The sequence below is a fragment of the Homo sapiens genome, chromosome 6, assembly GCF_000001405.40.
Source record: "Homo sapiens chromosome 6, GRCh38.p14 Primary Assembly".
Lineage (NCBI taxonomy): Eukaryota > Metazoa > Chordata > Mammalia > Primates > Hominidae > Homo > Homo sapiens.
In genome coordinates, this window is record NC_000006.12 from 24,819,232 (window position 1) to 24,834,260 (window position 15,029).

The following is a 15,029-nucleotide window of genomic DNA, read 5'->3' on the forward strand; positions in this document are numbered from 1 at the left end:
TAGGTCCCATAAGAAATCTACAAGGTAAGTCAGTCACTTGGAGAAGAGACATCTTACGGAGTGCCAGGGTAAGTTTCACAAAAATGTTTGAACTGGAATGGAAATGATGGCTTAGATTTCAGTAGGGAAGTTGATTGAAAAAAAGGTATTCAGTCAGAAATAAGGAAGACAGGAGGAGGCAGTACATTCCAGTGAGGAGGGTGGTAATGTCAGTTTGAGATTTGCTGAGTTTGATACATGGCAAATGAATGCTCTGTTTAAAAAATCTCTGCATAAAAGTACATTATCTTTTTTTTTTTTGAGACAGAATCTCGCTCTGTGGCCCAGGCTGGAGTGCAGTGGTGTGATCTCGGCTCACTGTAACCTCCATCTCCCGGGTTCAAGAGATTCTCCTACCTCGATTACAGGTGCCCACCACCACGCCCAGCTAATTTTTTTTTTTTTTTTTTTTAGTGGAGACAGGATTTTACCATATTGGCCAGGCTGGTCTTGAATTCCTGACCTTGTGATCCGCCCACCTCGGCCTCCCAAAGTGTTGGGATTACAGGCGTGAGCTACTGCACCCGGCCAATTGTCTTATTTTTACCAAGCTAATTTCTTCCTAAATGGTTGATAAAATGTGTAGTACTTAACATTAATTCAAATGAATAAGAATCACTATATGTCATATTGGTTCATAGGAAACTTAATTACTCTTGAAGAGAATTGAGGGTGGAAAGAGAGGACTAACTTTTGATTTTGTTGGGCTATATTGTGCATTTCTTGCTATTTGTCTGAATTACTTTTATTTTCTATTTTTATTTATTTATTTATTTTTGGAGATGGAGTTTCACTCTTATTGCCCAGGCTGGAGTGCAATGGCACAAACTTGGCTCACTGCAACCTCCGCCTCCCGGGTTCAAGCGATTCTCCTGCCTCAGCCTCCCTAGTAGCTGGGATTACAGGCGGATGCTATGATGCCCAGCTAATTTTTGTATTTTTAGTAGAGACAGGGTTTCACCACGTTGGCCAGGCTGATCTCAAACTCCTGACCTTGTGATCCGTCCGCCTCGGCCTCCCAGAGTGCTGGGATTACAGGCGTGAGCCACTGCACACGGCCCCTGTTTTCTCAGTTTTATAGGACAATTCCATTTAAAAAAATTGAAAATATAATTTATATACCATAATATTTAGACTACAGCATGTATAATTCAATGGTTTTTAGTATATTCACAAATCATCCCCATCATCTGATTTCAGAATATTTTCATTACCCCAAAAAGAAATCCTGTACCCATTAGTAGTCATTCCCAAGACCCTTTCTCTCCAGTCGCTGGCAACCACTAATCTACTCTCCATTACTATGGATTTGCCTACTTTGGACATTTCATATAAATGAATTCACACAATATGTAGCCTCCTATGTCTTGCTCTTTCATTTGGCATAGTATCTTCAAGGCTCATCTAGGTTGAAGGATGTATTAGGATTGCATTTCTTTTTATGGCCAAAAAATATTCCATTATATGGCTAGACCACATTTTATTTATTCACCAGTTGATGAACCTTCAGATTGTTTCTACTTTTTGGTTATTATGAATAATGCTGCTATGAACATCTGTGTACAAGGTTTTTTTGTGTGGACATATGGTTTAACACTCTTTTTTTTTTTTTTTTTTTTTTTGAGAGAGTCTCTCTTGGTAACCCAGGCTGGAGTACAGTGGCACCATCTCAGCTCACTGCAAACTCCGCCTCCTGGGTTCAAGCCATACGCCCACCTTAGCCTCCTGAGTAGCTGGGATTATAGGTGCCTGCCACCACACCCGGCTAATTTTTGTATTTTTAGTACGGATGGGGTTTCACTATGTTGGCCAGGCTGGTCTTGAACTCCTGACCTCAGATGATCTGCCCTCCTCAGCCTCCCAAAGTTCTGGGATTACAGGCGTGAGCCACCGCGCCCAGCCAGTTTAACACTGTTTTTTTTTTTTTTTGAGATGGAGTGTTGCTCTTGTTGCCCAGGCTGGAGTGCAATGGTGCAATCTCGGCTCACTGCAACCTCTGCCTCCCGGGTTCAAGCGATTCTCCTGCCTCAGCCTCCCAAGTAGCTGGGATTACAGGCATGCTCCACCATGCCCAGCTAATTTTTTGTATTTTTAGTAGAGATGGGGTTTCTCCATGTTGGTCAGGCTGGTCTCAAACTCCCGACCTCAGGTGATGCGCCCGCCTCGGCCTCCCAAAGTGCTGGGATTACAGGCGTGAGCCACAGTGCCCAGCTCTGTGGCTTAACACTCTTAAAGTTTTAACACTCTTAAAGGAAACAAAGATATGCAGTATAGGTTATTACAGCAAGAACAAAAGCAGTAACAGTAACTAGCTCTTTACTAGACCTAAATAGTTAGAGCCTGGGCTTTGGCTTTTGAAAACCTCTCTCTGGCTTGCCTTTTGGCCTCTACTCACTTGAGGGTGAGCAGCCAAAAGGGGAGGAAATAAGCCTCAATCCACAAGTGGGCAGCTACACAGGGACTAGCCTCCAGTACAAAAGGAACAAGGTGACTGTCCCTGAAGTGCCACTTGCCATCAACCCCCTCCAAAGCTACCATTTCCAGAGGTGGATATACACCAAGGTCATCTTTAGCATTTCATCCCTATTGAAGCATTGTTATAATGCAAACATGCCCGAGAGGAAGGACAATTTAAGTTGTGATCACCCATTTAAGTCTTGGAATATGTGGTTTTGGTAAGGGGTAAACCTATGGTTTGATAGTTAGCCTTCAAGTCCCTTGATATGAGTAAAAGAGGGAAATGGCAGGAGTTCAAGGCTGTAGTGAGCTATGATTGCACCACCTGGGTGGTGCATGTCCAGCTTGTGTAACAAAGTAGGATCCCGCCATTAAAATCCAAAACAAACCTGAGAGACAGAGAAATGGGCAGGGGAAAATAGAGAGGAGTCTTGTGCTGAAGTTCATCTACTTTATAATTTTAACAAGGGCTGGCCCTGGAGGTCAGAAACCAATCGATGGTGTCTGTGCAAAATGCTGAGTCATAATTCATTTAGTTTGATTATGTTGGTGGAAATATTTGTCTCCCTCATTTCAGGAACACAAATATTGTAACCATGTGTGTAAATATATCTGAAAATATCAATTCACTTGTCCCATGAAGAGATGACTAGGTACTTGTTAGGTGCCAAGCTAACATGCTAGGTGATAGGGCAAACCTGTCTATGTTAACTTCAGAGATGATAGCTGACCCTGTTAATTTTGGGGTTACTGAATAGGTTGCTCACTTTACGTATTTATTTATTTTTATTTATTTATTTATTTTTTGAGACAGAGTTCTTGCTCTTGTCACCCAGGCTGGAGTGCAATGGTGCGATCTCAGGTCACTGCAACCTTCGCCTCCTGAGTTCAAGCAATTCTCCTGCCTCAGCCTCCCGAGTAGCTGGGACTACAGGTGCCCACCACCACGCCCAGCTAATTTTTTGTATTTTTAGTAGAGATGGAGTTTCACTATATTGGCCAGGCTGGTCTCGAAGTCCTGGCCTCAGGTGATCCACCCGCCTCGGCTTCCCAAAGTGTTGGGATTACAGGCGTGAGCCACTGCGCCCGGCCTATTTATTTATTGTTAAATGCCTGTTGAGTCATAAGGTTGCTCACTTTAGTTTGAGTGGTTGCCTAAGAATTGGTGGCTGCTTAGATTCATAACAATTCCAGGAAGCAAACAGAAGGCACATTATAAAGCCAGAAGCCCCTGTCACCATGCAGAGGCCACCAGCATCTCCTCTGACCAGTCCTGGATAATTAAAGAAGCAACCACATCTGAATGCAACAGTATAGTTGGAGGACAGTGGATATTTCCTACTTGTCTAGGTGTGGGGAAAAGCATAAAATAATGAACCAACACACACAACTTTTATTTTGTCTCAATAGCTATGATCCTTGAAGCAAGGTTCCGGGTTTACAGTGACACCAGCTCTCACAGAGGCATTTTTGTGTTGCTTTAGTGCTTTGCATCTAGTTTTAAGAACTTAATGTAATAACTTTTGCTATTCCATATAAGAAAATATGGAAAGGGTTCAGGCTTTGGGAGTCAAACATTTCTAGGTAGTAATCCAAATTCTGTTACTTAACTAGTCTTAGTCAAGTTTAACTCCTTGGAGGCTCAGTTTCCTAATCCATAAAGTGGGATCATAGCATCGACCTTGTTAGAGATAAGACAGCTAAGTGATGCTGCACGGTGCCTGGTGTTTAGGAAGTACACAGTACTTGACAGGTATTATTTCTTGTTTTTCTGACTACTGGAAACTCTTCAAGGGTAAGGACTGCTTTTCCTTTATTTCTACAGTGTCCACAAAACCCTCCATATAATACCAGGGACACAGTAGTCACATAATGAAGGTTTAGTCATGAAATATGAATTTGAGGGAATAAACATGAGAGCTGAATTGGAATAACAAGAGAATATTTCACCTGTGGCTAATGCCCTAAAAGTAAAAGATGCATATAGAATAGCCAAAGGAAGGCTATGTCTTACCTGTTGTTATTTCTTTTTTATTTTTTTATTTTCTGAGATGGAGTCTCGCTCTGTCACCCAGCTGGAGTCCAGTGGCGCAATCTCGGCTCACTGCAGCCTCCACCTCCTGGGTTCAAGTCATTCTCCTGCCTCAGCCTCCTGAGTAGCTGGGATTACAAGCATGTGCCACTAGGCCTGGCTAATTTTTGTATTTTTAGTAGAGACAGGGTTTCCCCATGTTGGCCAGGCTGGTCTCAAACTCCTGACCTCAGGTGATCCACCCACCTCGGCCTCCCAAAGTGTTGGGATTACAGGTGTGAGCCACCGCGCCTGGGCCCCTGTTGCTATTTCTAAGGGCACATTTCGAACACTGGCCCCTCAGTGTGACTAAAGAGTATCACAGACCTGCTCCCCATAAACTGCACACTCAGATGCGTATATATCCTGCTACCAGCATGTTCACGATTCTTTAATTTTCCTTCTCTCTTTTTGGTAGGAGGTGAGAGTGGTCAGCCCACAGAACAGCTTTTTGAGCTAATTCCACTGAAAGATCATAACTGTGTAGCAAAGAACTACATAGAGTTCACCCTTTTGGACCAAAATGGCGTTAGAGTGGATTATTTTCTTGTGAGTACACAAACGTTCCATTACATATTAGCTTAGGCAGTGCCTTAGACAAGTTAAACAAACGGAGTTCAACATGGGACCTTTTCAAGGACAAGGAGAGGCCATGTTTAACTTTCTTGAGCTGATCTGGATTTTGATGAGAGTTAGTTTTTAGAATGACAGTATAAATTGTAAAGGGCTCCCAGGGGACCAATTCCTCTTGTATGAGCCAATGTACTTAAACTACAGATTCCTGTTCCATCTGGATGGCTATTGAATTAAAGCTGAGGGAGAGATAAATTACCTCTTCCCTGGAAGTAAGAGTGATGGCTTTTAAAATTAAAAATATTCCAGCTCTTTCAGCCAATAGTTAGATTACTTGACCCCAAACTGCTCATAAGACATGCCTGTGTGCACACACATATACACACACATATGTTCACCATAATATTTTTAGAGTTGGACACTATACAAATGCCCACCAATACACAGTAAGAAAATAAATTCTAGGATATTCATACATGGACATGCCATTCATCCATAAATATAATGAAGTAGATCAATATGTTCTATCGAGGAAAGAAAATAACCATGATATATTACATTTAAAAATCCATTATGAAATAGGATAGTGTGATCTCATTTTAAAAATTATGTATGTTAGCATATATATAGATACAATCTGAAAGAAGAGGCAGTATGTTATTAATAGTTTTCTCTGGGGGCTGGACTTAAGGGGTACTTATCTATATTTCTTTAGTTTTGATTGCTTTATGGAGCACACATTATTAATACGCAGAAAAATTATTTTTATAAAGGAATAAATGCTAAAATATTAGTAGTAAATGATAGGAAATTAAACCAGCTTCTGGCTTGATGGCCATGGTTTAGTGTCTTACCTTTTCCCTGAAATGCTGATTTTTGGAGGCTGCTGCCAAGTAAAGCGTCACAGCCTCACTAACTTCGTTGTCCTCTCTGGTTAATAGCAGAGCCAGAGTCCTGAGTACTTCCTGCTGGGCCAGGAGGTTGCTGGGAGCAAGGTCACTCATGGTTTGTAGCAGTTTTTCATCTCTTAGTGATTGCAGAGTCTGAACCATGGAAACTGGAGGGTAAGAAGGAAGGAGATTTCATGTTCTGACATGCTAAAGTAATCAGCTCATTACAAATATAAATAGAACTCAAGTACATAAGAAAGTATAGTATAGTAACTCCAATACATATGAAAAATTAGCATCTGATAAAGATGGTATTTCAGATTGGTGAGAAAAGGACAGACTATGCAAATAACTACATTATAGTGATGGGCAAAACACATGGGAAAAAGTGAAGGTGGGTTTCTATCTCATAATGGCTACAAAAATAACTTACAGGTGAATTAGCCCAAGGTAAAAATATACAGAAGAAAATACAATTAGACATTTTTTACAATCTTCCTAATATATGTATGGCAGACTTAATTGCTCCTCTTTTAGTCAAACCTGTCTGGCAAAACCCCAATCCTGGGTGAACCCAGTGCAAAAACCAAGTCTGCACTGAGGCAACTGGGCCCCGATGGAGCAACCTATCTATCTATTTATTTATTTATTTAATGTTTTTCTCTTTTTTTTTTTTTTTTTGAGACAGAGTCTCTTTCTTGTTGTCCAGGCTGGAGTGCAAATGGTGTGATCTCGGTTCACTGCAACCTCCACCTCCTAGGTTCAAGTGATTCTCCTGCCTCAGCCTCCCAAGTAGCTGGGATTATAGGCGCATGCCACCACGCCTGGCTAATTGTTGTATTTTTAGTAGAGATGGGGTTTCACCATGTTGGCCAGGCTGGTCTCAAACTCCCGACCTCAAGTGATCCACCCGCCTTGGACTCCCAAAGTGCTAGGATTACAGGTGTAAGCCACCTTGCCTGGCCAGAGCAACCCATTTTGTTGGTTGGAATAGGAAGACAATATTAAAAAATAAGGTTTTGAGTCCCATTTGGACAAATTAACCATGTTCCATGAATAAAGAGTATACTCTACTCCCTAACCAGAAATCCAGCATGATCAACCATTAGTCACAAAAACACTGGGATGAGAATATGTCTGGTCAGTACAAATGGAAAAATAAAAGCCAAAATTCATGCTCCATGAATAAAGCAACATTCTCTACACAGTAGACAAATTTGTGATTTATTTAGATTTTTTTTTTTTGCTTAATTTCCTATTTTCCTTGCTGTGAATGCTCTATCAATTTCACTGCTTTGTAAATAAACACCCTAGTAAAAAGCCTGAAAGGAAGCATTATGGATTATAACATCTAAATTAACAAATCACAGAAAATAGCCTAAATGCCCAACAATATAATCAAATACATTAGTATACATTCAAATGCGGAACTATTAATCTCATAACTAATATAATCTAATACAAATGCTTTCAAAGAATAAGATAGAACATAATATCAAATAAAAAACAGGATCAATACTCTATAAGGCATAATTACAATTTGGAATGTAAAACCCATGTACATTCAACTGAAAAATGCATTCAATTTAAAAAGTAAGAGGAGAGATTGGAATTTCTTTCTTTATACTTCTCTGTTTACATTTTTTTTTTTAATAATGAAGGCTTTTCCCTTTTATAATGAAAGAAAAAAGACACTTAAAATGTTAAAGGTTTTTTTCATTGTCATTCCCCATTGTTGTTAGTAAATGAGTAGGCCTTCTTGGGGACCGTGTAATAAGAGCCTAGAGATGTAAACTGCCACTGATGCAAACTGAGTAATATAAACATTTTCTCAGAAAATGGATTTAGATTGGGACAAATTTAGTATCAATAAATGAAGACTATAATATTATAAAATAAGACTTTGTGGTCCTAAAACAAGGTCTTTCTGCCCATGCTTTCTCTTCCTGGTCCTCTGTGCTGGTGTCTGCCTTGTAAGGGGTTATGCACAGACTCTCTCCCATGCTCCGTGCTGGTACAGTGCTGGGTGAAGGAAGATTTTTCTTCCTTCACTATGATGCCACCCAATGTGCTGACTGTGTTGTTGCAGGATTTGATGTTCTGGAGAGAGAAGGGGTAAGCCTGGGCTTGCGCCAGACATGTTGCTGCTGCCTGGTGCCGTGCCAGACTCACCTAGCTCCAAAGAACACACCTCATTCCTCTTGTCCCTTTTAACCTGCATTGGTCAAGGCTCTGTGGATTTATAAAGCACAAACCTGGGAACCAGAAACCAGCCCCTCACTACCTGGCTCCACTCCCAAAGTGGAGTTTTCACTTGATTTAGATTGCTATTTTATTTCCAGTCTCTGAAGGGCCGTGTGGAATGGCAAGAACCAGCTTCATTGCTGCATGCCTGCACTGGCAGCTGTTCTTGTACCCTGGACATGGAGCCCTGGAGTTAGTTTTCCACCTTTTCCTCCTTTCCCTTCCCACCATGTTACCTACCTGCCTTCTTTGAAACCCCATTTCTTCCTATTATTAATGAAAGCCTCACCAAAAAGGGCAATATAAAATAGTATTGCCTGTAGGATTGATCCGACTAATGGCAAATACATTACTGAAGGAAATAAATTACAGTGAAAGCTTAAATCATTTACCAGCTTCCTGTAAATGGTACCTCTCTGCCAGATGATTGAGTTGCTCCTAGTGAATCCCTGGTTCATTAACAAGGGGCTCACTAATGTTAAAAGTCCAAAAGTCACTTAAAAGGCAAATTGCACCTCTACTGTGGACTTGAAAAATAAAAGGCCATCATTGCCAAAAGCCATGATTTAAAAGAGCAGAGATAACGCCAAATTGAGCCACCACTACAATGTGACAAAAGAACATGTCCCACCTTGCCTGGCCAGCTGGCTCAGGTAACTCTCCAGGTCACTGACGCCGTGGCTGGTGAAGTAACTGTAATACTGGAAAACAGTGACGACTTCCGAGGACAGGCTGGAGGAAAGCAGAGGCTCAGCCCGGTCCAGAATTTGGGACACCAGGGTTCGAAACACTATTCGGAAGGGAAAGACACAAAGCAGCTTTAGATAGATGACCATTCATTCATTCATTCATTCAATAATTTTTATTTTTATTTTTATTTTAGAGACAGGGTCTCACTTTGTTGCCCAGGTTGGTCTCAAACTCCTGGGCTCAAGCAGTCCTCCTGCCTCAGTTTCCCAAGTAGATGGAATTGCAGGCATGAGCCATCACACCTGGCTCAATAAGTTGTTTATCTTTTATTGTGGTTGAAGATAGAGTGAAGTAGTAAAGTAAGCAGCTGGATGGTTTTGCACATGTGCACACCTGTGTAACTGCCATTTAGATCAAGATATGGAAGACGGCCTGCATTCCATAAGGTTTTCTTGTGCCCCTTCCCAGTCTATAGCTACCCTTCCCTTCCCTTATATATAAAATATATAATGAATAAATATTATATATGTGTGTGTAGGAGAGAGATAAAAAGGAGGAGGAAGAGACAAGTGAGAGAGGAAAAGAGAAGGAAGGAAGGAAAGAAGGAAGGAAGAATGAAGGGAAGAGAAAGAAAGGGAAGGGCACAAATAGGCAACTAACAATCTGACTTCTATCAACATAAATTAGTTTCACCTGTTCTTGAACTTCATGTAAATGGAATTATATAGTATGTACTTTTGGTGTCTTTTTCCTTTTACACAACAAAGTATCTGTGAGAATCATTCAAATTATTGATTATAGCAACAATGTGTTCTTTTTAAAAATTGCTGGCCCAGGGCCAGACACAGTGGCTGACACCTGTAATCCCAGCACTTTGGGAGGCTGAGGCAGGTGAATCACCTGAGGTCAGGAGTTCAAGACCAGCCTGGCAACATGGCGGAACCCTGTTTCTACTAAAAATATAAAAATTAGCTGGTCATGGTGGCATGTGCCTGTAATCACAGCTACTGGGTGGGGCTGAGGCAGGAGGATCGCTTGAACCTGGGAGGCGAAGGTTGCAGTGAGCTGAGATCGCGCCATTGCACTCCGGCCTGGGCAACAGAGCGAGACTCCATCTCAAAATAAATAAATTAATTAATTAAAAAAAATTGCTGGCCCAGTGTAGTGGCTCACAACTGTAATTCCGGCACTTTGGGAGGCCAAGGGAGGATTGCTTGAGCCCAGGAGTTCAAGACCAGCCTGGGCAAGAGACTGAAACCCTGTCTCTACTAAAAGTACAAAAATTGGCCAGGCATGTTGGCATCTATCTACAGTCCCAGTACAAAAGGGGAAGAGGCAGGAGAATCTCCTGAGCCCAGGAGATTGAGGCTGCAGTGAGCTGTTAAAACATCACTGCGTTCCCCCTGGATGACAGGGTGAGACCTTGTCTGTATTTTGTTTTTAAAAATTGCTGTGTAATACTCTATGCTATGAGTATATTACAATTTATCCATTCTCTTGTGGGCATTTAGGTTGTTTCCAATTTTTGGCTCTTGTGAGTAAAGCTGGTAGGAACCTTCATATAAATGTCCTTTCTTGTGAACATAGCACTTTATCTGTCTTTACATATTTAGGAATGAATGTGCTGGATCCAACGGTAGGGGGTATATTGAGCTTTAGTAGAAACTGCCAAACAGTTTTTCCAAAGTGATCATACCATTTGACACTCTCGTACTGGTGAAATTGTAATGAAAGAAGTATACACATAGAAATAACAATACATAAGAATGTAGTAGCTTTATTATTATTGAGATGGAGTCTCAGTCTGTCAGCTGGGCTGGAATGCAGTGGCGTGATCTCAGCTCACTGCAACCTCTGCCTCCCAGGTTCAAGCGATTCTCCTCCCTCAGTCTCCCAAGTAGCTGGGATTACAGGTGTGGGCTACCACGCCCGGCTAATTTTTGTATTTTTAGTAGAGATGGAGTTTTGTCATGTTGGCCAGGCTGGTCTCGAACTCCTGACCTCAGGTGATCCACCTGTCTCCGTCTCCCAAAGTGCTGGGATAACTGACGTGAGCCACTGCGCCTGGCCAAAATGTAGTAGCTTTAAATGTCACTGCTGATATTCTGAATTAAAACAGTTCAACACTTTCTTTTCTTAAATCTGAGTAGATGATGTTTTCCCTGGACAGTACACTTCTTTTTTCAGGGATGGCCTTTTGTGTGTTTCCCATCTGCAGGCAAGTGGTAGGAGGACCCCTCTCCCCCGACCCCCACCCCAATGCCCACTCTCACACTGAAGGACAGAAATTCTCTCTCTACTGCTGCCTCATACCTGGGTCTGCAAGTCCTGGATATTCTTTGTTGACAGTTCTGGCAAAGCTGGCCTCCAGCTGCTTCATCACTCTGTCCGCTGGGCTGTGGTAGACACCAACAGGGCTGCAGCACTTGGTCCAGAATGACAGCAAAGACAGCTTTTTGTGAAATTCTGGTATGGCTGGAAAAGAAGAGCAACCCCCCATCTCGTAACACATTTTATTTTATTTTATTTTATTTTTTTGAGACAGAGTCTTGCTTTGTTACCCAGGCTGGAGTGCAATGGCATGATCTCAGCTCACTGGAACTTCCGCCTCCTGGGTTCAAGTGATTCTCTTGCCTGAGCTTCCCAAGTAGCAGGGATTACAAGCATGCACCACCACACCTGGCTAATTTTTGTATTTTTAGTAGAGATGAGGTATTACCATGTTGGTCAGGCTGGTCTCGAACTCCTGTCCTCAAGCAAACCACCCACTTCGGCCTCCCAAAGTGCTGGGATTATAAGCGTGAGCCACCACGCCTGGCCATAACATTTTAAATGAAGCAGATGAAGACGTGTTGGGGAAAGGGTGTGTATGTGGGGGGTCTTTAGGGACTTTTTTTCTCCCCATAAGACTGTGGTTAGTTTTCAGATGGAACTAGCAGATTCCTGTGTGGTCAGCAGATGGCCCGAAGGGTAAAGAAGTTATGACGAGGAACTCATCCTGCTTGGGGAGCAAAGAAAATAGAGCAAAAACAAGTTCGTTTGCTGTGAGTGATAGGAAATACAGGAGCTCTACCCTTGGGCAGCATTCCAAACTTGTGATTTCCTATAACTCCACAGCAGAAATCATACAGGATCAAGGACTCAAACTGGAGGAGAGTTTCCTGAAGGGGATGGGAGGTAGCAGCAGGTGGCTGGAGGAAATTTTTACCCTGCCCAGGTGGTTCCCTGACTGAAATGACTGAACAGCATGGTACCAGGTGGGACAGGAACAATGTTTCACTTGAATGTGTCATGATCATGAGGAGGGGGCTGGGAGAGGAGAGGACACAAGTCACTCACAGCCTGAATGTCCTGCCCCTCTTCATGCCCCTCAGAGACCGGCCAAGGTCACCTACTTCTAGTGGGAATGGATGTGGGAGGCAGAAATGCACAGGGAGAAGATAGAGGAAGTTTTAGGCTTAATCAGAGATTATCTGGAAGACCCTGTTTCTGCTGAATATCTGATATGAAAACAGACATAAATTTTGGTTTCTACAAAAGTGCCCCATAGCCAGATCACACAAATTCAAAGGCATCTTTCCCAGGTCAAATTCTTCATTTAAAACTCTTAGAATCAGGAACTCTCCTGGAGGCGTTTGCATCCATGTATTTGTACCTTTCCCCAGCAGGGTCTGGCAGGATCTTCCAATTGACAGTCACTACAGGAGTTGTCTTAGCCACCTCCAGGGTGCAAGAGCATCCTATAGTCATCTGTCCCTAAAGGGAACCGCACCAGCAGAAAGTCTGTGAAACTCTGCCTGTGAAGTGGATGCTGTTTTTGTTTCTGGGTCTGACTTCTGGGGGTGGAGGCCCTCTGGAAAAAACTGTGTGTCTGCTGCTTTGACTCAGAAAGCCGAAATGTGACATTAATGAGCCCAATTTGTTTGGAGACCTTTCTCAATCCTGTGACCTAAGAATGCTTTTCTGTTTTTCCAACAAAGCAATGAACATGCATAGGGAGTGGACTGGGCTAGTGGTGTCATCATTTACGTGAATAGCGGTGTAACTGGCAGATACTTACCTTCCACAACAGAACTGATATTTCCTATGTTCTCATCACTGACAGCTGCGAGTTTCTCCATCACTTGGATCTGCCTAGAAAGCTTCTCTAAGAGACTTCTTGCCACAAATGGGGTTTTGCTTGAGAAAACAATTTGCTGGTAAAACAAACAAAACTCCTGTTTCAATTATGTTGTTTTCAGTAGAGCTTTCTCTACCCAGCCTCATCCTTCCTGAATGTGGTGATGATACTAAATAAACTCATGCGATGTTTTTCTTCCAGCTCGATAATGATCCTCATTCCATGCCAGTTACAACATCTGATGAAATCAGGCATGTTTTTGTTGCTTTGCATTTCTTCGTGTGTGCATAAATTCTGGAACTTTCTCAGTAGTAGGTCTACAAGGTTATTATAAAGCTGCTTTCCCTTTTATGTATTGTGAATCTGATCTTCCCCTTTGAAACGTGAGGGGCAGTTTAGGCTGTGTCTTGGTGTGTAAGCAGAAATAGATTTGTCTTACAAATGCAGTAATTTTTCACAGCATGGTTTTATTTTTGTGTGTGTGTTCAAGCTGAAAGTTAAGAGCAGGTTAAATAATAATGAGAATTACAATCAGAGCTGTCTCTTGATAACAAATGAGTGCTCACTATGTGCCAGGCACTGGTCTGAGTTCTGTATAAGTGTTAGCTTATGTTATTTCTCAAAACAACCCAATGAGGCGGGTCTTATTGATATCCCCATTTTACTGATGAGAAAATTGAGGCACAGAGAGGTTAAGTAACCTGCCCAAGGTCACATAAGTTGTAAGTGGGTTTATTTGTGTGCAGTTCACAAGAATGAGAAGACCTAAGAGAAGAAAGGATATAAGTCATTTGCTGCCCAATGGTTCTACTCCTTTCTGTGTCTCAGAGACCTGTCTCAATCACCTGGTAGCCATAGATGCAGAACACAGACCTGTACTACTATGCTGAATTGTTTAAAGTATTGGGACTCTAAAACAAATAGGATTTTCAAACCCAGCACTTTGGGAGGCTGAGGCAGGCAGATCACGAGGTCAGGAGATTGAGACCATCCTGGCCAACATGACGAAACCCCATCTCTACTAAATATACAAAAATTAGCCAGGCGTGGTGGTGCAGGCCTGTAGTCTAAGCTACTCAGGAGGCTGAGGCAGGAGAGTCGCTTGAACCCTGGAGGCGGAGGCTGCAGTGAGCCAAGATTGTGCCACTGCACTCCATCCTGGGTGACAGAGTGAGATTGTCTCAAAAAAAACAAAAACAAAAACAACAACAACAAAAAAACAAAACAAAGTCTAGTGCAGCAATTATGTACTAACACCCTTCCTGTGAGTAAATACAATAGCAATGAACTGCTTTATTTTGAAAATAATTGTAGTGATTATGATTCTTAGAAAATGCACATCTTTATCTCTCTGTGGTTATATAACTAATAAGTAAGCTCACACATGAATCAACGCAAGCCAGAAGGTAAGTTTCTAAATCTCATTCCTTCAATCTACATCTTTGTATCCACCTCTTCTGTTTTTGTACCATTGCTCATCCCCACAGAAAGGATGAATTGTTATAATCATGGCCTTATTACCGAGAGAAACACTGCATTGACTGCTTGCACTAAAAGCATGCCAATTAGTCTTTGCGAGAAAACAGTCACTCCTTCAAAGATAAGAATTCTCTTATGTCTCACAAAATAGCTATTATTCTCTAAAAGAGAAACAAGTGGTTTGCTTGGCATAGTATCAGGCTCAGCAAGGACAAAGAGCTGTCTCGTTCAAATGGTTGGTGAGTAGAAAATAGTCATACATAAATAAAAATCCCTGTCTGTTTTGATCAGAAAAAAAAAAAACTGCACATTCTACCAGATTGGTTATCAGTCTCATGGTTTGTGAGACCTTTGTGGTTTTTGACCTCAAAACTCAACAGAAGAGTTCAACTAAGTGTTGGCTAACCAAGTGGCAGGAGTTATAATTGCCAACCAGTCTCCCACAGCACACAGTTGTCTGAGGCTT

At 41.9% G+C, this 15,029-nt stretch overlaps 1 protein-coding gene across 7 annotated transcripts in view, besides 3 other annotated features; it reads right to left on the minus strand.

Annotated features, from left to right (window-relative positions):
* The window catches only part of RIPOR2 (RHO family interacting cell polarization regulator 2), a 237,885-nt gene that overhangs the window by 14,948 nt on the left and 207,908 nt on the right, over positions 1–15,029 (minus strand). For all 7 annotated transcript variants that reach the window (XM_006715275.3, XM_011515012.2, NM_001286445.3 and 4 more), the window contains 4 exons: positions 13,025–13,160; positions 11,278–11,439; positions 8,906–9,064; positions 5,995–6,197 (listed from right to left, as the gene is read on the minus strand). In XM_006715275.3, coding sequence (XP_006715338.1) covers positions 5,995–6,197; positions 8,906–9,064; positions 11,278–11,439; positions 13,025–13,160 — 660 coding nt within the window. The remainder of the gene's footprint in view (positions 1–5,994; positions 6,198–8,905; positions 9,065–11,277; positions 11,440–13,024; positions 13,161–15,029) is intronic.
* Positions 1,683–1,811: a silencer, noted in NCBI's record as "fragment chr6:24821142-24821270 (GRCh37/hg19 assembly coordinates)". NCBI's record gives its function as "represses an EF-1alpha promoter that drives an FKBP-Casp9 reporter gene in an ReSE screen in phorbol 12-myristate 13-acetate-treated (for megakaryocytic differentiation) K562 erythroleukemia cells {active_cell/tissue: K562(+PMA)}" and the evidence as "EXISTENCE:reporter gene assay evidence [ECO:0000049][PMID:32094911]".
* Positions 7,710–8,211: an enhancer, noted in NCBI's record as "H3K27ac hESC enhancer chr6:24827169-24827670 (GRCh37/hg19 assembly coordinates)". NCBI's record gives its function as "activates a minimal SCP1, AML or CMV promoter by ChIP-STARR-seq in naive H9 embryonic stem cells {active_cell/tissue: H9 hESC(naive)}" and the evidence as "EXISTENCE:reporter gene assay evidence [ECO:0000049][PMID:30033119]".
* Positions 8,212–8,711: an enhancer, noted in NCBI's record as "H3K27ac hESC enhancer chr6:24827671-24828170 (GRCh37/hg19 assembly coordinates)". NCBI's record gives its function as "activates a minimal SCP1, AML or CMV promoter by ChIP-STARR-seq in naive H9 embryonic stem cells {active_cell/tissue: H9 hESC(naive)}" and the evidence as "EXISTENCE:reporter gene assay evidence [ECO:0000049][PMID:30033119]".